General features: G+C 33.8%; 1 protein-coding gene and 1 long non-coding RNA gene across 18 annotated transcripts in view, besides 2 other annotated features; one reads left to right on the top strand and one right to left on the bottom strand.

Annotated features, from left to right (window-relative positions):
• The window catches only part of EPHA6 (EPH receptor A6), a 946,939-nt gene that overhangs the window by 561,434 nt on the left and 359,501 nt on the right, over positions 1-26,004 (top strand). The gene's annotated exons all lie outside the window — the stretch shown is intronic.
• LOC101929278 (uncharacterized) overlaps positions 1-26,004 on the bottom strand; it is a 114,015-nt gene that overhangs the window by 74,959 nt on the left and 13,052 nt on the right. The window lies entirely within an intron of this gene.
• Positions 12,629-13,189: an enhancer, noted in NCBI's record as "OCT4-NANOG hESC enhancer chr3:97107500-97108060 (GRCh37/hg19 assembly coordinates)". NCBI's record gives its function as "activates a minimal SCP1, AML or CMV promoter by ChIP-STARR-seq in naive H9 embryonic stem cells {active_cell/tissue: H9 hESC(naive)}" and the evidence as "EXISTENCE:reporter gene assay evidence [ECO:0000049][PMID:30033119]".
• Positions 13,826-14,397: an enhancer, noted in NCBI's record as "OCT4-NANOG hESC enhancer chr3:97108697-97109268 (GRCh37/hg19 assembly coordinates)". NCBI's record gives its function as "activates a minimal SCP1, AML or CMV promoter by ChIP-STARR-seq in primed H9 embryonic stem cells {active_cell/tissue: H9 hESC(primed)}" and the evidence as "EXISTENCE:reporter gene assay evidence [ECO:0000049][PMID:30033119]".

Below are 26,004 nucleotides of genomic sequence, written 5' to 3' on the forward strand. Positions count from 1 at the left end.
ATCAAATTGTCCAACATATGCAGTTGTACCATAAAAGCCCTTACTACACCACTATGCAATCTATGCATTTAACAAAATTATACTTATATTCCATAAATTTTCACAAATAAAAATAATATATACAGTTTATCATATGTAAGTTATACTTCAATTAAATTAAAGGAAGAAACACTAAATTTTAATAATTCACCCTAATAGTAGAGAGTTATCTCATGATAAATATAATTCCAATTTTCCCTGCAAACATACAATTTTGTTAAAACTAAAGTACAGAATTACTTTTAAAAGGTAAATTGACCTATATGTGGAAGTATTAAAAATGAAATAGGCAGGCTTCTGACTGTAAGATCATCTGGCTAGTAGAACTGGCTGACCACATGTTCCAGTTTCTCTTTATCTACAAATCACATACGAAAACAAAAAAAACAACATGCACAGGAATACAGTCTATTAGGCTAACAGTATGTTATCAGAATCAGAAAGATTCTCTAAATCTCTAAGGCAGAAAGAGATGGATTGAGTAATCTTACTGTTGACTTCTTTTTCTGAAAGAGAGCTTTTGGCTTTTCCCATAGTCTAATTTTGATTCAGAAATGCAAGTTCTAAACCAGAACACTGGACAGTCACTTCTGCACTGGTGGGTGCTGCTTCAATGAGACAGCAAGATTCCTGCTCAGGTCATTATTTTCTACATTCATTGAGGGATTTATACTCAACAGAAAATTAGAAAGTAAGAGAACAATGCTAAGAAATAATGGATTATGCTGAAGGCAAGGTGAGGGAGACAGAAAGTAAGTAATAGTTCATGATTTCATGATGCAGATTCCACATTTTCAGACTGCCAAATACACAGGTCATGGGAATATCAGAATATTTAGTAGAACTATATCTGATAAAAACCATCTGGAATCTGAAAATCCAGGCATATCCACCTGTATTAGCTCAGTGTCTAAGTAAATTAAACCACAACTCACATGGACGAAAGTGGAACAAATATGATTCTCCTGCACTGTGTAATGCTAAATCTTGGAGATAATCCATTAATTGGGAAGTTAACAACAACAAAGGCCATTATGTGACTGATATGGTTTCACTCTGTGTCCCCACCCAAATCTCATCTTGAATTGTCCTCCCACAATTCCCACGTGTTGTGGGAGGGACTCAATAGGAGATAATTTGAATCATACTGTTCTCATGGTAGTGAATAAGTCTCATGATATCTGATAGTTTTATCAGGGGTTTCTGCTTCTGCATATTTCTCATTTCCTCTTGCCACCACCATATAAGAAGTGCCTTTCGCCTCCCACCATGATTCTGAGGCCTCCCCAGCCATGTGGAACTGTAAGTAGAATTAAACCTCTTTTCCTTCACAGTCTCAGGTATTTCTTTATCAGTAGCATGAAAACACCAGACTAATACAGTAAATTGGTATCAGTAGAGTAGGCTGTTGCTGAAAAGATACCTGAAAATGTGGAAGTGACTTTGGAACTTGGTAACAAGCAGAGGTTGGTACAGTTTGGAGGACAAGGAAGACATAAAAATATGGGAGAGTTTGGAACTTCCTAGAGACTTGTTAAATGGCTTTGACAAAAATACTGGTAATGAACGGACAATGAAATTCAGGCTGAGTTGGTCTCAGATGGAGATGAGGAACTTGTTGGGAACTGGAGCAAAGGTGACTCTTGTTATGTTTTAGCAAAGAGACTGGCGGCATTTTGCCCCTGCACTACAGATTTGTAGAACTTTGAACTTGAAAGAGATGATTTAGGGTATCTGGCAGAAGAAATTTCTAAGCACCAAAGCTTTCAAGAGGTGACTTGGGTGCTGTTAAAAGCACTCCACTTTAAAAGGGAAAGAGAGCATAAAAGTTTGGAAAATTTGCAGACTGACAATGTGATAGAAAAGAAAATCCCATTTTCTGAGGAGAAATTCCAGCTGCCAGCAAATATTTGCATAAGTAATGAGGAGCCAAACATTAATCCCCAAGACAATGGGGAAAATGTCTCCAGGGCATGTCAGAGACCTTTGCAGCAGCCTCTCCCTTCACAGACTTGGAGATCTAGAAGGAAAAAATGGTTTTATGGGCAGGGCCCAGGGTCCCCATTCTGTGTGCTGTCTAGGGACTTGTTGCCCTGCGTCCCAGCCCCTTCAGCCATGGCTGAAAAGTGCCACCACAGAGCTCAGTCTGTGGCTTCAGAGGATGCAAGCCCCAAGCCTTGGCACCTTCCACATGGTTCTGAGGCTGTAGGTGCACAGAGTCAAGAATTGGGGTTTGGGAATCTCTGCCTAGATTTAAGAAAATATATGGAAATGCCTGGATTGTACATTTGCAGGGGAGGGCTCTCATGGAGAACCTCTACTAGGGCAGTGCGAAAGGGAAATGTGGGGTCGGAGCCCCCACGCAGAGTCCCTCCCGGGGCACCACCTAGTGGAGCTGTGAGAAGAGGGCCACCATCCTCCAGACCCCAGAATGGTAGATCCACCTACAGCTTGCACTGTGCACCTGGAAAAGCTGCAGACACTCAATGCCAGCCCATGAAAGCAGCCAGAAGGGAGACTGTGCCCTTCAAAGCCACAGGAGCAGAGCTGCCCAAGACCATGGGAACCCACCGCTTGCATCTGTGTGACCTGGATGTCAGACCTGGAATCAAAGGAGATCATTTTGGAGCTTTAAAATTTGACTGCCCCATTGGATTTCAGACTTTCATGGGCCTTGTAACCCATTTGTTTTGGCCAATTTCTCCCATGTAGAACGGCTGTATTTGCTCAGTACTTGTACCCCCATTGTATCTAGGAAGTAACTAGCTTGCTTTTGATTTTACAGGCTGATGGGCAGAAGGGACTTGCCTTGTCTCAGATAAGATTTTGGACTGTGTACTTTTGGGTTAATGTTGAAATGAGTTAAGACTTTGGGGGACAGTTAGGAAGGCATGATTTGTTTTGAAATGTGAGGACATGAGATCTGGAGGGGCCAGGGTGGAATGTTATGGTTTGGCTCTGTGTCCCCACCCAGATCTCATCTTCAGCTGTACTCCCATAATTGCCACATATTGTGGAGGGACCAAGTGGGAGATAATTTGAATCATGGGGGTGGCTTCCCCCATATTGTTGTCAAGGTAGTGAATAAGTCTCACACTATCTGATGGTTTTCGCATCTTCCTCATTTTTTCTTGAAGTGCCTTTCAGCTCCCATCATGATTCTGAGGACTCCCCAGCCATGTGGAACTGAAAGTCCAAGTAAGCCTCTTTTCCTTCCCAGTCTTGTGTATGTATTTATCAGCAGTGTGAAAACAGACTAATACAATGACTAATCAGAAATGCTTCAGAACTAGGAGAAATAACATATACATAATTGAAGCAGTTCAAACCTCTGAAAATCTTTTTTTTTTCTAGAGAATCTAGAAACAAATATTATTTAAAGATGTTTAAGATTTTAAAAAGGGCTGGGCATGGTGGCTCACGACTGTAATCCCAACACTTTGGGAGGCTGAGGTGGGTGGATCATGAGGTCAGGAGTTTGAGACCAGCCTGACCAACATGGTGAAACCTCATCTCTATTAAAAATACAAAAATTAGCTGGGCATGGTGGCAGGCACCTGTAATCCCAGCTACTTGAGAGGCTGAGACAGGAGAATTGTTTGAACCTGGGAGGCAGAGGATGCAGTGAGCTGAGATCGTGCCATTCCACTCCAGCCTGGGCAAGAGGGTGAGACTCTGTCTCCCCAAAAAAAAAAAAAAAAAAAAAAAAAATTAGAAAGGATGTGCTTTGATCTCAAGGGAGAAAAACCATAAAGTAAAAACTTTATGCTTTTTGGATATTAAATGAGAGATAGATGAACTAATTACAGACATCAGAAAAATGATACATGATAAAGAATTTTAAAAGTTGCCATAAGAGGAAATAACACATAGAAATGACAAATCAAACTAATAATGTGGCAGACAAATTTGCAAAGCTCATCCAGGATTTTCAGAAATAGGAAACGTATTAAAGCAGTGAAACAGGAGTTCATGGGAGATAGAGAACAATTCTAGCATATTGGTGCTCCTTAGGAAGAATCCAGGAGTAGAGACGAAACTGTAATTGAAAACAGACCTTTAATACCTGATCTGTCTGCAGAATTAAAAGATTTTCTGCATTAATGTTTGCCTAGACATGATCTGAAGACATGTTTTGTTTGTTTCAGTGTATATTTATTCAACACAAGGATATTAAAAAATATATCTTACAGATTTTGTGATAGAAAAAAAGTTATTGAAAAAAGAAAAGATAATCAGATCTATACTCGGGTAGAATAAAAACTAAAAGATGTTCCCTGGACATAGACTTCTTTACCTTCTGGAAGTCACTGACCACTTGAAGAAATGAGTATACATATATGTACCTATGTGTACAATATAGTGCACACAAGATGAGGAATTCACAGAATGCCTAACTCATTACCGTGGATCCCTTTGGGCTTCAGGAACACAGGGTGGTGAGGGGGGAAATGTGCCACAAGACTTTCTTGTCCAGACAAGTTGCATTTCTTACGTGAAGAAAATGGAAACAGTCTGAGATATACAATGGATACCCATTTACTCTTAAAGGAAAAAGGTACTTTCTGACACATTTCAGCTATGATGAGGTCAGATTTTAATACTCATATTGGCTAATCACAGTATATTTAAAAAATGTAACTTGTCTGAGAATCCATTATAAAGAAATAATTACAGTTGATTTATGTAGCCAAATATCCATCTTAATAATATTGTAATAGTGAAAAACTTTTAATTTCCTTTTTAGATATATTATTCTGTCTGCAATCTCCCATAATTAAAACAACATCTGCTTCATCACTTGTCACAATTTCAAAGAGCATTATCTATAATGTATTAGTTTTATTGTAGCATAGTTTTATTTTATTCATGATTGTAAAGGCAACTTTCTCTCATATAGATGCTTTTTCTCTTAAATCTAGTCAATTTTCCTTTCAAGACAGTAGCATTTTCTTCTTGACCTTTATTATTAATTTTAGACTAAGTTGGCTTTAACATACCATAGGAATTCTATTAATTTTCAAAAATTTTTAAGCTTGTAATATAAATATTTTAGTTGGCTTATAGTTGAAAAGAAACAAAGCACATTTTAATGAAAATACACTTGAGGGCATTTGAGCTAAAAGAAATACATAAAATAAACATTTTCTCAAAATATAGCTATTATATAAAATTTCTGAAAATATTTATTAGCATAATAATGAGAATTAATAGCCTATTTATTTATTATTGATACCTATTATATTCCAAGCACTGAGCTAGTCACTTAACTTCACTGAAGTCACTAAATTGCCTTTAAAAACCCTGTGACATAGACACTATTAGTATTTCCAGTTTATAGATGAGAAAATTAGGCATAGAAAAAATAAGTGAATTGCCAAGAGTGAATCTGCTGAGCCACAATTCAAATTAAAGAAAATTTAGCTCCAGATTTGACTGTTTTAAATCCTACATTATACACCCCTATTAGGTAAACCACATCACATGCGGAAAAGTTAAGTTAAAGAGACAAATACCCTGCTTCTCTTGATTGCTCTGTCTTCTTCATAAGGCCAATTATGTGCACACTCAAAAGCATTTTTTGATTTTCAGCAAGTGAAATTACTAGCAGGTTTAGAGGTTTTGCTAATGTGTACATCATATACAAATGCAACATTTTGTCATGACTTAAAAATGTTAGAGGTATCCTGGAGCATCAAATAATCATGCCTAATTAAATTAAAGAAACTTTTAGTCAGCTGTGAGCTGTGATTATTTTTTGGTTGAGCAGCTTACAATCCTTTCACCATTCAGAGTCCAAAAGACTGCTTAGCACTTAACCTAAACATGGGACGCACTTAATAAAGAAATTATTCTGTTCCCATTCAGTTATAGATAATTAAATTATGAATTACTTTATTGTTCTTATTTTCTGTAGTCTCTCATGTTTGTATTATAACAAAGGTAATATTTATTTACAAACAATGTCAAATGGGATTTTACAAAGCTTAAATATCTATAATGTTAACTATTTAGAAATGTATATTTTAAATAAACTATTGTATGCATGATGAGCATGTTTTAAATGAGTCTGATAAGTATACAGTATTAGCAGAAGATTTAAATTACAGTAACTGATTTTGACATCCCCAGTAAATGCCAAGAAACATAGCTTTTATAGCAAGTTCATGGAAATGTTCAGATAAAATATTCATGAATTCTCTACTAAAAGAAAAGCCTCTTATGGTCTTGTTTGACAGAGGATGACCTTTTCTTCAATAAGTTCCCATCTTTGCTGTAACTTGGTGTTTAGATGCCCTGCTTAGATGAATAAAACATAGCATTTTGTTCTTTGTGTTTGCTAGTATATGTGATAATTAATAGAAAGGAAGACTTTGAAGTTTTAAATGAAGTAAGTGGTTTATTTTTTCAAAAGGCATTAAGGAATTTTTGAAGATCAATTTCCCAGCAGAATATTTGTCAAAGCAATTAGGATCCACCCTGACTTCGGTATACCCAGTAGTGCTCAATTGATGTGCTCTTTCAAATAACTAAAGCATTTTTAACTTTAGTGATCTGCATTACTCATATAGTCTACCACCTGACGACTCTTACAAAGATGGATCAGCAATTCAGTTATATACAAAAAGAGACTTTATGAAAATACAATCAGTCAAATATACCACAGTTTTCAATATGTTGAAAACAAAGGGAAACATGAATTAGATAATTTTAAACCAAATGAACCATATTGAAGCCATCTAGGTTCAATTTTAGTATTTATGCTTTTAGCTTCAGTCCTTGTATTCTTGAGAAAAAAGAAAGTAGTACCTAATGATAATGTATCTACAGAAAATAATAATAACTAAGGTAGCAAGATGTCATCTACTCATGTCCTGAAGATTTAAAAGTTTGCTAAGATGACCATTTATTCAACCATACCCTTTTAGCAAATAAGGTATCATCTGGTCCCCAAAAAAGTGCCACATTAATTTTTGAAGTCATAGGATACCACCGATGCATTTAATCAGTAATTTACTGAATGGCCTGACTCAGAGTTAGGAGTTGATTCTGTAGTATTGAAAGACTAATTAGGACCTCAATATGTTGATTTGGAAAATAAGCTGTGGACTTACTAATATTTTTTATAGTGATCTCTCTATAAAAATCTGGTTTTAATAGGGACATTGACATAGCCTATCCCTGGAAAAGGAGTAATTGCATTCTGATTGTGGAAATTATGTCTATATTCTGCCAAAACTCTCTGACATATACTGAACATATCCGGAAACACTGAATGAAGGGCATTACCCATATTTGGCTAACAAGTATTTATAGAATTAAAACAAGTAAAATGCCAAATTCATATTATTGGTAATATTCATTGAAAACATGCCCTGAAAACGAAATTCCAGCTTATTGGCATGATTTCTAGCCAAGTATTTTCAGTTAATCAAGTACCAATGGATGACATGAAATTTTTATGTCTATTCACTGATGTACAATTAACATGATCTGGAGAATTGCGAGAAAGTATATTAGTTTGAATAAATGTTTAAACTTCCTAGACTAATCTTCTAGATTAGCATTCCCCCAAAGTATTTCTATAGAGGATTAGTCCTGTAAAATGCTTTTCCAAAAAGTGATTCCTTGGTCAATTAAGTTAAGGAAATGTGCGCAGTATATTACTATCCTCACCACATAGGAAGTAAAGTAGAACATTAAAAGCTCTGATAATTCCTTCAAGAAGGAAACTTGTTTGGCTTTTTGCAATCTAGTGTCTCCAAAAGGTACTTAACTACAAAATCCTTTACTTGTATAACATTTATTAAAATCCTAAACATCTAATTTTCTGGAAAATGATTTCCAAGGTAGCAAATGCATATACCAGAGATATTCAATTTTGAAAAATATCTTTGGGAAATATTTGACAAAACTCTCTCACATATGAAGAAATAAATTGTTTTCTATATGGCATTTCAGTATGTAGAATATGTAAGTTTTTTTCTAGATTTATAATGTTGACTATTGGAAAATCTATAAGGTTAAGTGAAATGGCTGTTTTATGACTATTATAATGTTTATTCAATGTTGTCTTTCGTCCACAACAATAATAACAAGCCAACTATTTTGAGTGGTTGCCATGTGTCAGGCATTAAGTACTTTAAATGAAATAATATACATATTCCTCACAACCTGAATGTTGGATATTATATTATTATTTCAAGTTCTTAGAAGAAGAAATGAAGGAAACAGAGAAGTTACCTAAAGTGATGATAGTCTCATGACCAGTGAGAAGCAATGCTGGGATTCAGTTCCAAGTAGCCTGGCTTCAAATCCCCTATGCTTAATTACAGCACTGTGCTGCCATATGTAGTAGAGCCTGGGCTGACTATTCTGATTCTCCTGCCATCCCCACTCATTCACTCATTTGTAGCTTTAGCCTGTCAATGGTTACTAACATATTTCAATGGAGAGGAAACCTAGTATTATTTCAAAAGTTTGAAACACTTTACTGTCCTCCTGACATGTGCCAACATAGCAGTAGTCAATTCAAACTCTTGAGCCTGAGTCAACAGAATAAACTTTTGAAAGGTTAATCTAATATTTTTTCCCAAAGTAGTATTCCAATATCCAAAGAATTTATGAATATGGTAATTTTTTTATTTTAGATAACATGAAATAATAGAAACATCATACTATTTCCCCCTTTTTTGATATTTACAATTTTGCTTGACTCAGCATTTCCCAAACATAGTTGACTATAGAATATTTTCTTCATGGCAAATATATCAACATCTTGAAGAACTCTGTTAAACCCACACTAAGTTTGGTAAATAAAGTACTGAGTTATGAGCAGTGATATGCTGATGAGTGTTTAAAAACTAGCTCTCCCAGGGTAAAAATAATTTTTTAAAGGCCTGATTTGCAGTGTTTACCAAGTTGTAGTATAAATACCTTCATCATGGCTGATTTAAAGCTACCAGACTAAGTTGCTGAACACAGAGTGGGGAAAAGATGGACACAGTAGGTTCTGGCAAACTGATGAGAACTAGATCCAGCTCATCATAGCTTTATCAATCTTGACAAAATCTATAATTTATTCTTTTATAACCATAAAAATTAGTATCTTTTGATGTGGAGGCCATTTTACATAAGAGACCAAGAAAGATATTTAAGAATTATATTCAAGGGTCTTATTTAAGTATCTTTACTTTATGTGGACACATTGAAAAGGCACATTTGAACCAAGTCACTCAATATACTTATGAACCCATAGACCTTCTTCAGAAATTCTAACATTAAATGCATATCAAGATAATCTATATTGTAATAACTCTATTTAAATATATACTCTTATAACAAAAAGACATAACATAATCTAGAATAAAAGGACATAGTATGTACTTAGGGAAAAATTACACAGAGATAATCATAAGGTGAAAAGAGGTAAGAAGTTTAGACCCAGGTTTGTTTCAAAGACTCACTATCTATAGAGCTTTGCTTCTTAAATTGTGTGCCCTATGGAGTTCCCTGTAATGCCTCCAAATATTTCTTTATCTAAGTGTGTTAGTCCATTCTCAAACTACTATAAAGACATACCTGGGAATGGGTAGTTTACAAAGGAAAGAAGTTTAATATGCCCACAGTTCTGTGGGCTGTACAGGCTCCTGCTTCTGGGGAAGCCTCAGGAAACTTACATTCATGGCAGAATGCAAAGGGGAAGTGGGCACATCTTCACAAGGCTGGCAGGAGAGAAAGAGCAAAGGGGGAAGTGCTACACACTTTTAAACAAAAGTGTTAAACAACCAGATCTTGTGAGAACTCGTGCACTATCACAAGAACAGCAAGGGGGAAGTCTGCCCTCATGATCCAATCACCTCCTACCAGGCCCCTTCACCAACATTTAAGATTACAATTTGACATGAGATTTGGGTGGAGACAGAGAGGCAAATCACGTCATTCCACCCTTGGCCCCTCAAAAATTTCATGTCCTTCTCACATTTCAAAACACAATCATGTTTTTCCAACAGTCCCCCAAAGTTCTAACTCATTCAAGCATTAACTCAAAAGTCCAAGTCCAAAGTCTCATCTGAGACAAAGTAGCTCCCTTCCACCTATGAGCCTGAGAAATAAAAAAAGTCTTAGTTACTTTCCAGAACTGTGAGCTGATTAAACCTTAGTTACTTTCAAGATCTGTGAGCTGATTAAACCTCTTTTCTTCGTAAATTACCTAATTTCAGGTATGTCATTATAGGAGTGTGAGAATGGACTAATACAGAAAATTTGAATAAAAGAAATAATAAGGGTACAGACATCGGGTAAATACACCCATTCCAAGAGGGAGAAATTAGCCAAAACAAAGGGGCTACAGGCCCCATGGAAGTTCAAAATCCAATAGGGCAGTCATTAAACCTCAAAGTTCTAAAATGATCTACTTTGACTCCATGTCTCACATCCAGGGCACACTGATGCAAAAGGTGGGCTTCTACAGCCTTGGGCAGCTCTGTCCCTGTGGCTTTGCAAGGTACAGCCCCCTTCCTCACTGCTTTCACAAGCTGATATTGAGTGTCTGCAGCTTTTCCAGGCACACAGTACAAACTGTCAGTGGGTCTACTCTTCTGGGGTCTGGAGGATGGTGGCCCACTTCTCACAGCTCCACTATACACTGTGCCAGTTGTGACTCTGTGTTGGGGCTCCATCCCAACATTTGCCCTTTGCACTGCCATAGTAGAGGTTCTCCATGATGGCTCTTCCCCTGCAACAGACTTTCTGCCTGGACATCCAGGTGTTTCCATACATCCTCTGAAATCTAGGCAGAAGCTCTCTAGTCTCAACTCTTGCCCTCTGTGCATCCAGTCTTAACACCATGTGGAAGCCACCAAGGCTTGGGGCTTGCACCCCCTGAAGCAATGGCCCAAGTTGTTCCTTGGCCCCCTTTTAGCCATGGCTGGAGCAGTCATGATGAAGAGCACCATGTCTTGAGGCTGCACAGAGCAGAGGGGCCCTCGACCTGGCCCACAAAACCATTCTTCCCTCCTAGGCCTCCAGGCCTGTAATGGAAGGGGCTGCCAAGAAGGTCTCTGAAATGCCTTGGAGGCATTTTCCCCATTGTCTTGACTATTAACATTTGGCTTCTATTTACTTATGCAAATTTCTGCAGCTAGCTTGAATTACTTCCCAGAAAATGAGTTTTTCCTTTCTACCACATGATGGGACTGCAAATTTTCCCAACTTCTGCTTCCCTTTTAAATAATAGTTACAATTCAGTTTTTTTTTTTTTTTTGCTTATGCAATTGAGCATAAGCTTTTAGAAGCAGCCAGGCAACACCTTGAATGCCTTGCAGCTTAGAAATTTCTTCTTCAAATACCCCTAAATCATTTCTCTCAAGATCAAAGTTCAACAGATTTTTAGAGCTGGGGCACAATGCTGCAATTCTCTTTGCCAAAGCATAGCAAGAGTGACCTTTGCTCCAGTTCCCAATAAGTTGCTCATCTCCATCTGAAACCACATCAGCCTGCTTTTCACTGTACATATCACTATCAGCATTTTGGTCACAACAATTTAACAAGTCTCTAGGAAGTTCCAAACTGTCCCTCATCTTCCTGTTTTCTTCTGAGCCCTCTAAACTGTTCCAACACTTGCCAGTTGCCCAGATCCAAAGCCACTTCCACATTTTCATGTATCTTTATAGCAATTCACCACTCTCATTACCAATTTTCTGTATTAATCCATTCTCACACTCCTATAATGACATACCTGAGATTAGGTAATTTATGAAGAAAAGAGGTTTAATCAGCTTACAGTTCTGCAGGCTGTTCAGGACTCTGATTCTGAGGAGGCCCTAGGAAACTTACAGTCATAGCAGAAGGTGAAGGGGAAGCACATACATCTTCACATGGCTGGCAGAAGAGAGAGAATGAGGGGGAAGTGCTATACACTGTTAAACAACCAGATCTCATGAGAACTCATGCACAATCACGAGAACAGCACAAATGAAGTCTGCCCCCATGATTCAATCACTTCCTACCAGGCCCCTCCTCCAATATCAAGGATTAGAGTTCAACATGAGATTTGTATGTGTACATAAAGCCAAACCATATCACTAAGCTTTCCTTATCCATATCATGAAATGGCTTTTTGATACATGTATTTCAGTCAGTCTTTCTCATTAAAACTTCAGAGACAACAAAACCATCCACGATTATGCCACTAGCATTGAAACCATGCTTATTGCATTAAAACTGTTGGAGAAGAAAACTTTTTTTTTTAATCTTCTTAGTTCAGTGATTTAGGGGCTGCAAATTAAATGGACAAAAGACAGGTCAGTGAGCAAATAGAGTTTTACTTCTATATGTACAAAGGTGTTCACAGAGAAATGGGACTCGAGGAGGGAGTTAGGAAGTTAGAATTGGGGGTTTATATACAATCTTAACAAGGAAAGAGGAGAGGATAACAATTCTTATGGGAAAAAAAATGACTTTTAAGAAAGACAAATGGGCCCATAGGAGGATGGGTGAGAGATATGATAGTTTTGTGATAATGTCTGTTTAGATGATTTCTTATCCTATTGCTGACTTCTTCTCTTTGGTAATGGGAGGCAATCTTCCTCGGCTACTAAACTGGGGAGGGGATTTATGACAGCTGAATTCTTTGGAAATTCTCTGCTTTCAGGCAGATAAAGGAAGTTTGGGGGAAAAAGATCCTCATCACAGATATATTCTGGAGCCTTTCAAAATGAATCTGGACAATGGCATATATTAAGTGTAGAGGGAGTAGGACAACCAAGAATGCAGGGAGATAGTGACTAAAGTAAGGAAACTGATCTGCACAGCTATTCTGAGGTTTTTTCTGCAGCACAGTGTTAGGCCAGGAAACACCATCATTGTGGATATTTGAAAAACAAAACGTCCAGCAATCAGAGGCCATTTGTTAGTTGATAGCTGTTGTGGGCCCATTTTGAGCCTGATAGGTTACTTGTCTTTAAGAAAAGATTTGGCTTCCTTAAGAAGCAGGGAAAGGGAACTAACAGGCTACAAATACAAATCAAAGACAAATTCATACAAATTAGTATATAAATAGTAAAAAACTGACCATTGATTAAAATTGGTCTCTCAATTCAAAGCAGAAGAACATGATAAGAATTAAAGCAAATGATATAATTCTAAAATTATTAAAGACAGTAGTAGTGCATACACTCAGAATGATGCTCAAAATACTTTAAAACTTTATGGCATAGGCACTAGCCAGTTGGAGCAGTACTGGCTGAATATAGTTGATATGGTCATGATGTGTGCTGGTCAGCATTGCACATGTCAGATATTTATATTATCTCATTTTTCAATAACTCCCTTATACGTGACCTAATGTAACTTGAATGTTGGAGTTAGATGTTGCTGAATTATAATATTTATTTTTTGAAATTAATGTTACATTATATTTATTTTCATACCTACTATATAATTTATCATAATTGTAAGAAAACAAATATTTCTTGATTGCATAAACAAACCCTGTAAATGTATTTGTACAAGGTTTAAAAGGTTTTACAAGGTTTAAAAACATTACATTGAACTTTCTGTATTTTTCCTTAGAAATTAATTTAGAACATAAAATGAAAGATTATATAGCACAACATGTTGCATTTTAAGTAAAGTATGAAAATGTGGCAAAGATTTTCAATATTATTCATTTTGAATAATAATTAGCACATTTTTGGTTTTAAAATTCTTTGTAATCCTATTAACTTATGCAATAAATGTGAAGCAATGTTATGTTTAACAAAGATGTCACAAAAATCAGGGGAAAAAAATGAAACATATGCCCTGAATGCTTTTGAAGCTACTGTGAGAACATGAAGTTGAAATTATGAGCTAGCAGCCAACATGAGAAAACACAAACTTCTTCTCTGCATGTAGTAAGTGATTTGTGAACAACAATTACTAACTAGAGAAAATGAGGGTAAAACACAGGGCTCAGCCAGGTGTTACTTTACCTCAGTGATTTACTCTGCTATTTGATCAATGATGAGAACAAAATGACCCATATCCTCAGGAAGCCATGAATGTTTCAAGGCAGCTGTGAAAACACCTGGCTACTTGTCTGACACAAAGACTACGTCCATTAAGGAAGATTCAAGATTTATTTCTATGGGCTTGAACCAGAAACAATGGCAGTGAATTTGCTGTTGCATTGCATTATTCCTTTAATGAGAGAACAAAAGCAGTTTTGCAGCCCCATTCTGGTGAACTGGCAGGAATACCAGCATCTCCCTGAACCACTGTGACAAGATCATTCAGCATTCCCTTCAGTAGCCAGCAGTATGAGCACGTTCTCCCTTTCTGTGACTTCTGGAATATATATCCCATAGATATATGATATGTATATTCCAGAAGGAATTTCATATATATATATTATATATATACGCTGTGTGTATATATAAATTATATTCCCTTTAAACTATTTTCATAAATTATGAATAATATAATTATTCATACACACACATATACATATTGTATTATGTGTATAGCTTCTACTCCCAAAAAGCAATAGAGATAAAAACACAAAAATGCACATTTTAAAAATATTTTATAGCTGGAGTATACAGAAAACATTATGTAGAATCTTAGGGTAAGCTGTGATATCCTACAAAATCTATGGAACTCAGCAAAATTTCACCAATTAGAATTTTACTGATCAAGAGTTATTAAACTGTATCTAGGAAAAGGAGATGACAGTTCATGGGATGGAGGCCCTACAAGGGTGATGAGAAAGAATGGGTTTAGAATTAGTGAAAAGGCAATTGATACTGGGGCATTTTCAACCAACAATCAAATCATTCGGAATATTTTTGCTTTTGTTTCCCAATCCAAATAATTTTTAAAATGAAACTGTTAAATAATGGGAAATATTGATAATCCAAGAAACAAACCCAAGGTAGCATTTACTATTACACAATAGAATCATAGCATAATGTGTTTTATTTTTTAAATCAATACTGCATGTTCAAACTCTCACCATTTTGAAATAACCTTTCCTTTATTTTCTGGCATTACTATTATCATTATTATAATTATCTTTTTTTTACTTTTTTACATTAATTCTACTTTCATAAAATGGTGGTCATATGCATGGAGTACATAAATCAATTGGACTGTGCTTATATGGTGTCATAGAGGATTTATAGAACAAAAGTTCAGAGGGCATGACAATTGTCTGGAAAGACCTTAAACAAGTTTTAAACATTTTGAATATAAAAGATAGTCAAATGAAAGCTACTTAATGTGTTTGTATGGCACCATACTAGGTCCCGTGGGCGGTTTCTATCTTTAAATTTAGCACCGTTGGTACAGTACAGTTTGTAAGTGCTAGACTTCAGTCAGAAGTCTGTTCTTTACATGTTACATAACTTTGGGTAAGTCTTTTCCAGGCTGATCCTATTTCTTCACCTTTAAAATGAGAAGTGCTGTACCTACTAAGTTACAGTGTATATTAAGTTATTCAATGTATGTGAAAGAGCATAGGAAGTAGAAAAGTGCGGTACAATATATTTGTGTATATTCTATAATATAAGGAGGAATAGAAGAGCTTCAGATAAGGGCAGTCAATTGCTGGATGTCACAAGGAATAGAGAGTAAATGTTCTAGGAATTCAGACATAAAAGCCAATTCCATCTGAAGTTATCAAAGAAGCCTTAAGCTAGTCTGGTGTTCTATCTTAAGGGAAAAAAAGGTAATTGCTGCTATTTTATTTCATATTATGAATGAAAGTCTTTAAATGGGAACTCTCTTCTAAAATGCCTAATGTTATTCATGGGTTGTTTCACAGCCCCAAAATATGACTGAAATTTTCTTGTCTGTTTATGTACCTTAGGGGTCCAACAGAAAAATATTTTTTTCTTTCATGAGACATCCAGTAAGCAAATTTATAAAATTTATAAGTCTAATTTTCATAAAGCTTCATGGTTTAAGACACTCTTGAAGCCAATGGTCTTTTAGCTAGCTGCCACCGCAATTTTGTGTCTTCACGTAAATTGAAGAATAAGCCACATATATTACTTTATAGTTACAGCTTATAAATATATTCGTTTGGGCTTTACATTTTGAAAAGTATTAACATTTTGAATTATATCTTAGAATAAATATTCAGAATATGACATGAGTTAAGATTAGGTTTACGTAGGCTCTTTGGAATAAAATTATTTTCCCTTTAAACTGTTTTAAGAATTTTGAATAATACAATTACTTGTTAAGGTAATTTAAAAATCATTAGCTATTGCACAATTTCAAGATATACTTCTGTTTTGCTCTTCTTACATGTAGTTTCACTAAGCTAGCATGGTAAATTGCTAATGCATTCACATATATATGGGGGTGTGTCTGTGTGTGTGTGTGTATATTTATATACATGGCATCACATATAGGATTTGGGGGTATTGCTATTTACAAAAAAAATGGAATCATGTCATACATATTTTTTTGTAACTTGTTTTTGACATTTTACATATTATGCTTATTTTTGTATGCCTATATATACATACTTTTTAAAATGTATTAATTTCTTCTGTTTCTAAACTTTTTACAAAATGCAACCATAAAATTTGCATGTAAAGCTTTATCTGCTCATACTAAAATATTTTAAAGATTTATATCTCTATAAGCTTTATTACTTGGCTGCTTCCTTTCCGTAATATTAGTTAAAATGATTTTAGTCATCTACTTATTAATGACTTGTCATATTATTTTAGTTTTTACCTTTAAAATAGCTTTTCAATTAGCTCTTTTTTTTTCTGTACTTGGAACATGTTGCAAACTTTTTGTTGAGGAAATCAGAAATCAGCTGACGCCCAGAAGTTACAAACCATATTCAAATATACCTAGGATATTTCTACATTTAAAACCTATTTTAAAATTATCATATGTAATTTGTATAATTGTACAGATCAAATAATAATACTTTTGCCTGGAAGAATCACTAGAAACCAGTGTTCTTGATTTTAATATAAACAGATGTTATAAATGAGGAATTTGTTTAATGTTCAGATGAGGTAGGCCAAATGATTGATTTTTCTTTATGGCCAGGCCAACTTTCTGAGATTTGGGAGAATAGCCTATGCTAAATTCCTAGAAAGTAGTGGTACAACATATATTCTTTTTACTGAAACATGACAAGTAATAATAAGGTCAGAAGAATCTCAGAGTGGTCCAATTTGAGGATACTTTTTTCCCTCATATTTCAAAGAAACTGAATTTTATAGAACCTGTTATATAAGCAGTTTTTCAAATGCCTCTGGAACTAAATAATAGTCAGTAGATGTGTATGGTGTAAATTACTGAAAACAGCAGCTAAAGACAAGCTTAACAGTGAGCACGTTAAATCACAGTCATAAGACTTATCAAAGAGAAATTAAAAAGACACAGATTATCCTGACAACTTTAAAGATAACTTGTCTGGTCTCACCTCTGTAATTAAGTGCTGACAGTGCTGTGGCATTTCAACTCATCATTAATACAGAGAATTTTCACTCTGGCAGATACAGATAGTGAGAGTTTTCTGTGCAAACGTTTTCACAATTCTTTCACTAATGTCTTATCAAGCTACCAGCATCTCACTGGCATGGCAGGAGGAAGTAGGAAGAGTGAACAAGTAATTTTATACTCATTGACCAACCTCTCCCCATTTTGCTCCCCACTACCCTCTTCAGACTCTGGTAATCATTGTTCTACTCTCTACTTCTAAGAGATCGACTTTTTTAGATGACACATATGAATGAGATCTTGTGGCATTTGTCCTGTGCTGGGTTTATATCACTTAACATAATATCTAGGTTCATGCATGTTGTCACAAATGACAGGATTTTGTTATTTTTATGGGTGAGTAGTGTATCATTGTGTATATAGACCATATTTTTTATCTATTCATTTATTGATGGACAGTCAGGTTGATTCAGTCTCTTGGCAATTGTGAATAGTATTGTAATGAACATGGGTGTACATAAATTTGTAACATATGAATTTCATTTCCTTTGGCTATTTACCCAGTACTGGAATTGTTGGAAATATCTCCATCTATTTGCAGCCAACTGCTTTTCAAAAAAGATACCAAGAACAAAAACTGGAGAAAGGTCAGTCTCTTCAATATATGACATTGCTGGGAAAACAAAATATCCACATGCAGAAGAATGAAACTAGATCCCTGTCTCTCACCACTTAATAAAGTCAACTTAAAATGGATTAAAGACATGAATGTAAAATGTGAAACTATGAAACTACTAGAAGAGAACATGGAGAAAACACTTCAAGACATTGGTCTAGGAAAGGAATTTTTGGATAACACTGCAAAATCCCAGGCAACAAAAACAAAACTAAACAATTGAGATTAGGTCAAACTATAAAGCTCTGCACAGCAAAGGAAATAATCAACAGAATGTAGAAAACACCTGCAGTAAGGGAGAAAATGTTTGTAAACTATGAATGTGAAAAAGGATTAATATACAGATTATATAAGGAGCTCAACTCAACACTGTAATAATAATGACCCAAATAATCCAGTTGTTAAATGGGCAAAATATCTGAATAGATATTTTTGAAGAGAAGACATACAAATAGCCAACCTGTACATGAAAAAATATTAAACATCATTAATCATCAGGTAAATGCAAATCTAAACTGCAATGAGATATTACCTCACCCAAGTTAGAATGGCTATGATGAAAAAGACAAAAAGTGACAAATGATTGCAAGGATATAGAAAAGGAGGAACTCTTATGCACTGTTGTTGGGAATGTAAATTAGTACAGCCATTATGGAAAGCTGTATGGAGATTTTTCAAAAAATTAAAAATAAAACTACCATATACCTTTCTTACATAAGGTCATCTGTGCTTACTTTGGGCACACCAGATAATCCAGGCTAATTCCCCACCTCTGAATTTTTAACTTAATAAAAACCGCAAAGCTTCTGCCATAAAAGAACATTCACAGATTCTGGGAATTAAGATGTGATATTTCAGGGCTGTTACTCATTTTATTACAGTACAGCTGTCATATTGGTTTAACATACTACAATGTTATTTTCAAATTCAGAAAGAAAAAAAAACAAGGAAGAACATAAGATAAAGTACTAACTTGCTGCATATAAGTCTCATGTATATTTCAAACTCATAACTAGGTTTCAACCACATGCAGGAAATAGATAACAATATATATTACCAATAAACTCTGATTACAAGAAAAAAACATAAAAACAAAAGCACAGGAGACAGATATTCTTAGGAACTATTGTGATATCTAAAGCACAGAACATTTAAGAAACATTTCCAAAACAAAATATAGGTCAGAAGTATTTTGAAACATGTTCTCAGGTTTCAAAAAATGTCAATTAACATGATAAACATGTATCACATCTACAGAATTTCACAGGTAAAATTATCGTTTTTGATTATACTGTCTCCTTCCTGAGCATACACAGAAAGAAACACTGTTGTGTGCTTCTGCTTTGCAATTATACCCGTTAGTTCATTTGTAAAGAGAAAGGAAAAAATTATATAGTCTTAAAATTTTGTTCTGATTTGTACTTTCTGGTCTGTATTATTTATTTTATTTTAGTATTATTCTTTATTGACATTTCATTGAGTTTTTTATTATATTTCCCTTAAAACACACCTACACACACACACATTCCTGTCCTAAAAGAGGCACAAGGAAGAAAATAAAAGAAAAATGTAAAGAAATAAGGCAGTAAAAAGCATTTTAAAAAGTAAATGAAGAAAGAAAAGAGTAAAGAAGGAAGGCAGGGGCATCTTAGAAGAGAAAAAAGGAGAGAAAAGAAAAGAGGATGATAGATGAGGGAAGGTGGAAGAGTTAATTCTATTCATGCTAAAAATTAGAACCTAGGACATAGTTGGAAGTTACAGGAAGACAGTGATTCCATATGAAAGCTTTTTAAACAACTAGAGGTTTACAAAAAGGAATCGATAGCCTTGTGGAGTAAGGTACTCATTAATGCTGAAGCAAAAAATGGATAAGAAGCTATCAAAGTTAAGCGTCAAGGGATTTTCCGGATTGCTGGAAAAAATATATTAAATGGCTTATAAGGTCTATCTTCATACTAAGATTCTATTTTGTAGCATTCAATATTAAGATTTTCATTGTCACAAGCATGTGTATATGAGTGTGCTCTCACTGTGTATCTCATTTTCTCACATATGCACGCATGCACACACACACAATGAGCACGTGCACACGCACACACCCTGATAGGTAAACCTTAATATATCTAGTATGCTTATAGCTGACTGAGAATTAGCATTATTTAATACAGTTTTAGAAACATAACTTTATAACCCATATCATAAGTATTGAATTTTCAAAATAATGCATATTTGTATTTATCCATATTGTGAATTTGAATAATAGTATTAGGAAAATTAAAAAATAACATTTTCAAAGGCAACAAGGATATTTGTGACATTATTTTATTTCTTGCCTTTAGTTTTGAACATAGATTTTAATTTTGAACTCATTACACTAAATTGGAATTCATTTTAGGAGAAAATGTAGTAAAAAATGTAATTTTTCAATTCTTTCGTAGCACTTTGATTTAATATTAAAATTTACCTTCACATCTCTTCATTAAACAATTGCTCAACTCCTGTGAGATTTAGCATTCTTATCTTTAAAATAAAGACAGTCTCCATTCCATTGATTTATGAGATTGAAGTAAGATAAATATACATGGTATAAAATAAGTATTTAATAAAAATATTGTCTTGAGAGCAAAATAGTTAACCAGACTAATTTAGGATTTCTTCAGCTATCTCCACATAAGCATAAGAAAATAATACTCATCTAATTGTAAATGAGGCCTCTTTTGTTAACTAATTCCCCTAAACATTTTTTTTCTTCAAATTTTTGTTACATAGTGTTTGGGAAACTATTGGAAACGTAGTCATCAGAAAGGTTTATATTTAAAACCATTTCAGCTATCTATTCAACCATCTTTTTCTTGAAGGTCAAAGCTAAGATTTTGAAGACTTAAATAAGGATGTATATCAGCAATAAAATTCTGCTGAAAACTATACTGAATACATAATTCTTACTCAGGGAATATTGCTTGAGCCTTCAAGTTATTCCATCAGCCTCTGATCTTACAAACTCTAGATTTTATTTTCTTGCTTTTTTTTCCCTGACTTTTTAGCATCAGAGATAAAAATCAATAGTTGCTCTTCTGTGTCCTAAAATCAGTTTTTCTCATATGGAAAATAAATGTATATGCTATATTTTCTGCTTTTTATTCATTACTTCAAGAGTGTTACCACCATATGTCAGAATCAAATGTCATATAATCCTGGATTATTAAGAAAGAAATCATTAAATATATTCAAAACTAACTCTGCAGCTTTCATATATGGAAGCCTCATTTTAAAATAAAATTCTATATATTGTTGGCCTCTGTGAAAACAGAAAATCCAGCATTTGGGGGTTTATATTGACCTGTAAATTGTTTCTCTCATCCTCTCCTTTAATTCATTAACCATTTAAAGTGTGTGCTTAATATATATTGATTCAGTTCTTACATAGTATGTCTCAGAATATCCAAGTTATATGAAGCAGTTTTCTTAATAAAAATTTAACAAAATCAAAACTTTATGCATGAACCGTGAAAACGCTAATAGGAAAGTATTGGAAATTTCAACATTAGAGGAATGATTTCATTAAGTATACAGAATGGAGTATTTTAGCAATTAAAATAATAATTACAGATACTATTTCAAAATATGGAATTGGATTTAGTATGCATTGTTAAAAATAAATAGAATTATGTAAAATTATGTACACTTCATAACTATGTAAAATATGTATATTAACATATGAAAGGAATGTGCAAAAGCAAAGAGATTTTAGGGTTTAGGACATTTGGACCATGAAATCCATTTTTATTTGTTACCGTTTTATAAAAGTATAGGATGGAACTTGTAAAATTTAGGTGATGTAGATGTACTATTAATTGCCCACTGGAGAATTGGAAATAGAAAAATAGTACCTATATTTTTCTCAGTAGTCATTCTTTTATGCTGTGGCTATAATTGAATTTCTTTTAAGTTTTGCAAGGATTATAATGCTGACCTTGAGTGCTAAATCATTATGAAGCAAAATGTAAAACACTGGTAATATTGCTTTAGACATTGTACATTAAACTGAAAATTAACCATAAGATTGTATATATGAAAATGACATTTTCAAAAATTGTAATGAATTGATATGTTTAAATCAACCTCTAATTTATATGATTTCCCTTTAAAGTTATAATTTATCCATCAAGCACGATTTAATATATTATTACACTATAATTCAAGAACATTAATGCAGCTTCCAACAGGGACAAATTTATTAATGGTGGTTTATTAAGAGCGAATGTGTCTTAATTTAAATGGCAAATTATCTGAGCACTTTTTCTGTTCTTTTTTTAATGAATTGATTGAGATTTAATTACCGAAGTTGAACTGGATACAACTTTATGTAATCATATTTTCATTTAAATATTCTTCATTTGTTATGCCAAAAATAGTACATATGGTTGCTACATAAAGAACATATCTCAAAAACTTATGTTTTCTTTTGAATCACTAAATTGTGTTCTTTGGTTACCCAAGAGTAGTCTCTCTGTTTAATGTAATAGTGAGAATGAATTTACTAAATACATACTCTTTTTCCACTCATTTTATTCCTTGTCAACATAAAAGTATAATATTTTTGCCTCATGAATTCTTTTTTTAGTTTTAATTGATGCATAAAAATGGTATATATTTATAGGGTACAGTGTGATATTTTGAACATGAATATACTGTGTAATGATGAAATCAAGGTAATTAACATATACATCCCCTCAAACATTTATTTTTTGTTGGAAACATTCAAAATCCTGTCTTCTAGCTATTTAAAAATATGCAATAGCTTATTAGCTATAGTCACCTACAGTGCTGTAGAACACTAGAAGTTATTTCTCTTACCTAGCTGTCATTTGGTATTGTTTAGCTAACTTTTCTTTAGCCACTTCCCTCCCCTTCCAAGTCTCTAGTAACCATTATTCTATGCTGTACAATAAGATCAAATATTTTAGCTTTCACAGATGAGTGAGAACATGCAGTACTTATCTTTCTGTGACTTACATATTTCACTTAACATAATGGCCTCCAGGCTCATCCATGTTGCCATAAATGACAGAAATTCATTCTTTTTAACAGTGGAATAGTATTCCATTGTGTGTGTTACATATTTTCATTATTTATTCATCTGTTGATGGATACTTTGATTGCTTCCATATCTTAGCTATGGTGAATACTACTGCAATAAACATGATGTGGGGGGCTTAGGGTTTTCATTTCATTTCCTCTCGATATATACCCAGTAGTAGGATATCTGGATCATATGGTAGTTCTATTTTTAGTTTTTGAAAAGCCTCCATACTATTTTTCATAATGACTGCACTAATTTACATTCCCACTGGCAGTGGATGAGTTCCATTTTCTCTGTATCCTTACCAGCACTGGTTATTTATTTTCTTTTTGATAATAGCTATCCAAATGGAGTGAGATGATAGTTTATTGTAATTTTGATTTACATTTTCCTGATGATTAGTGATGATGAGCATTTTTTATATATCTGTTAGTTATTTGTATGTCTTCTTTTCAGAAATGTCTATTTAGATCTTTTGCCCATTGTTAAATAGGATTATTTGTTTTTTGTTGTTGTTGAGTGGTTTGAGTTCCATGTATAGTCCTTGATATTAATCCATTGTTGAATGAATAGTAGTTTGCAAATATCTTCTCTTGTTTTTCAGGTGTTTTTTGACTCTTGATTGTTTTCTTTGCTGTTCAGAAGCTTTTAGTTTGATATAATCTCGTTTGTCTATTTTTGCTTTTGTTTTTGGTACCTATGCTTTTGAGACCTATTCATAAAATGATTGCCTGGACTAATGTCCTGAGGCATTTCCCTAGTGTTTTCTTTAAATAGTTTTATATTTTTGAGTCTTAACATTTAAGTCTTTAATCCATTTATGTTGATTTTTGTATATGGTGAGAGATAGGTATCTAGTTTCATTTTCTGCATGTGGACGTACAGTTTTCCCAGCACCATTTATTGAAAAGATGCCAAAAACATATATTGAGGAAAGGAATGTATGTTTTTGGCATCTTTGCCAAAAATCAGCTGGCTGAAAATACATAGGTTTATTTCTGTGTTCTCTGTTCCATCACATTGGTATTGAAATGTGTTTCTATGACAGAACCATGCTGCTTTGGTTACTATATCTTTGTAATATATTTTGAAGTCAGGCAGTGTGATGCCTCCAGCTTTTGTTTTGTTTTGTTTTTTCCTCAAAACTGCTTCAGCGATTTGTTTTTTCTATTTCTGTAAAGAATATAATTGTTATTTTGATAGGGGTGGTATGGAATCTAGATTGCTTTGGGTGGTATGGTGATTTAACAATACTAATTATTTGAATCCATGAGCATAGCATGTCTTTACATTTATTTGTTTCCTCTTAAAGTTTTTCATCACTGTTTTGTAGTTTTTATTATAGAGATTTTTCATCTCCTTGGTTAAATATATTCCTAGATATGATATTTATTTATTGTTGCAGCTATTTTAAATGGGATTGCCTTGTTGGTTTTTTCAGCATATTTATGACTGTTGTATAGAATTTTTGTACATTGATTTTCTATCCTGCAGCTTTTCTGAATTTGTTTATTAATTCTAAGAGTTTTTTGGTAGAGTCTGTAGAATTTTCTGTATATAAGATCATGAGATCTGCAATTAGGGAGAATTTTACTTCCTCCTTTCCAATTTGGATACCTTCTCTTTCTTTCTCTTGCTTAATTGTTCTGGCTAGGAATTCCAGTTCTATAATAAATAAAAGAGTGGTAAAAGTAAATGTGCTGGTATTATTTCAGTTCTTAAAGGAAAATCTTTCAACTTTTCCCCATTCAGTATGATATTGGCTGTGTGTTTGTCACATATGGCCTTTATTGTGCTAAGGTACATTCCTTCTATACCTAATTTGTAGAAAGTCTATATAATGAAGAGATGTTGATTTTTATCAAATGCTTTTTTTTGCATCTGTTGAGATAATTATATTTTTGTCCTTCATTCTGTTGATGTGATAGTTAAAAATTGGTATTAGTTCTTCTTTAACAGGGTGGCTGTTAAATGAATTAATTTGGTGAATTAATGGCTTCAATTCACCAATGAAGCCATTGTTCCTGGTCTTTTCTCTGTTGGGAGACTTTTTATTACTGGTTCTATCATGTTACTCATTATGGGTCTGTTCATATTTTCTATTTCTTCACTGTACAACCGTGGTAGTTTGTATATGTTGAAGAATGTATTCATTTCCCCTAGGATTTCTAATTTGTTGGCATTTTGTGGTTTATAACAGTCTCTAATGATCCTTTGTATTCTTGTGGTATCAGTTATAATGTCTTCTTTTTTGTTTCTGGTTTTGTTTATTTGGGTGTTCTTTCTCTTTTTCTTAGTCTAGTTAAAGGTTCGTCAATTTTGTTCCTCTTTTCAAAATATTAATTTCATTGATGTTTTGTATTATTTCATCTCCATTTTGTTTATTTCTGTTCTGATCTTTATTATTTCTTTTCTTCTACTAGTTTTGGGCTTGATTTGTTCTTGCTTTTCTAGTTCCTTTAGATGCATCATTAGATTTTTTATTTGTAATATTTCTACTTTTTAAATATAGGAACTTATTGCTATAAACCTCACTCTTAGTATTGCCTTTGTATATCTCTTAGGTTTGGGTATGTTTTGTTTCTATTTTCATTTGCTTCAAGAAAATGTGTAATTTCTTTCCTGATTTGTTTATTTGGTAACTCAGAAGCATTTTGTTTAATTTCCACGTGTTTGTGTGGTTTTTGAGGTTCATCTTACTGATTTCTAATTTTATTCTATTGTGATCGGAAAAGACACTTAATATTAT

This window comes from Homo sapiens, chromosome 3 (assembly GCF_000001405.40).
Source record: "Homo sapiens chromosome 3, GRCh38.p14 Primary Assembly".
Taxonomy (NCBI): Eukaryota; Metazoa; Chordata; class Mammalia; order Primates; family Hominidae; genus Homo; species Homo sapiens.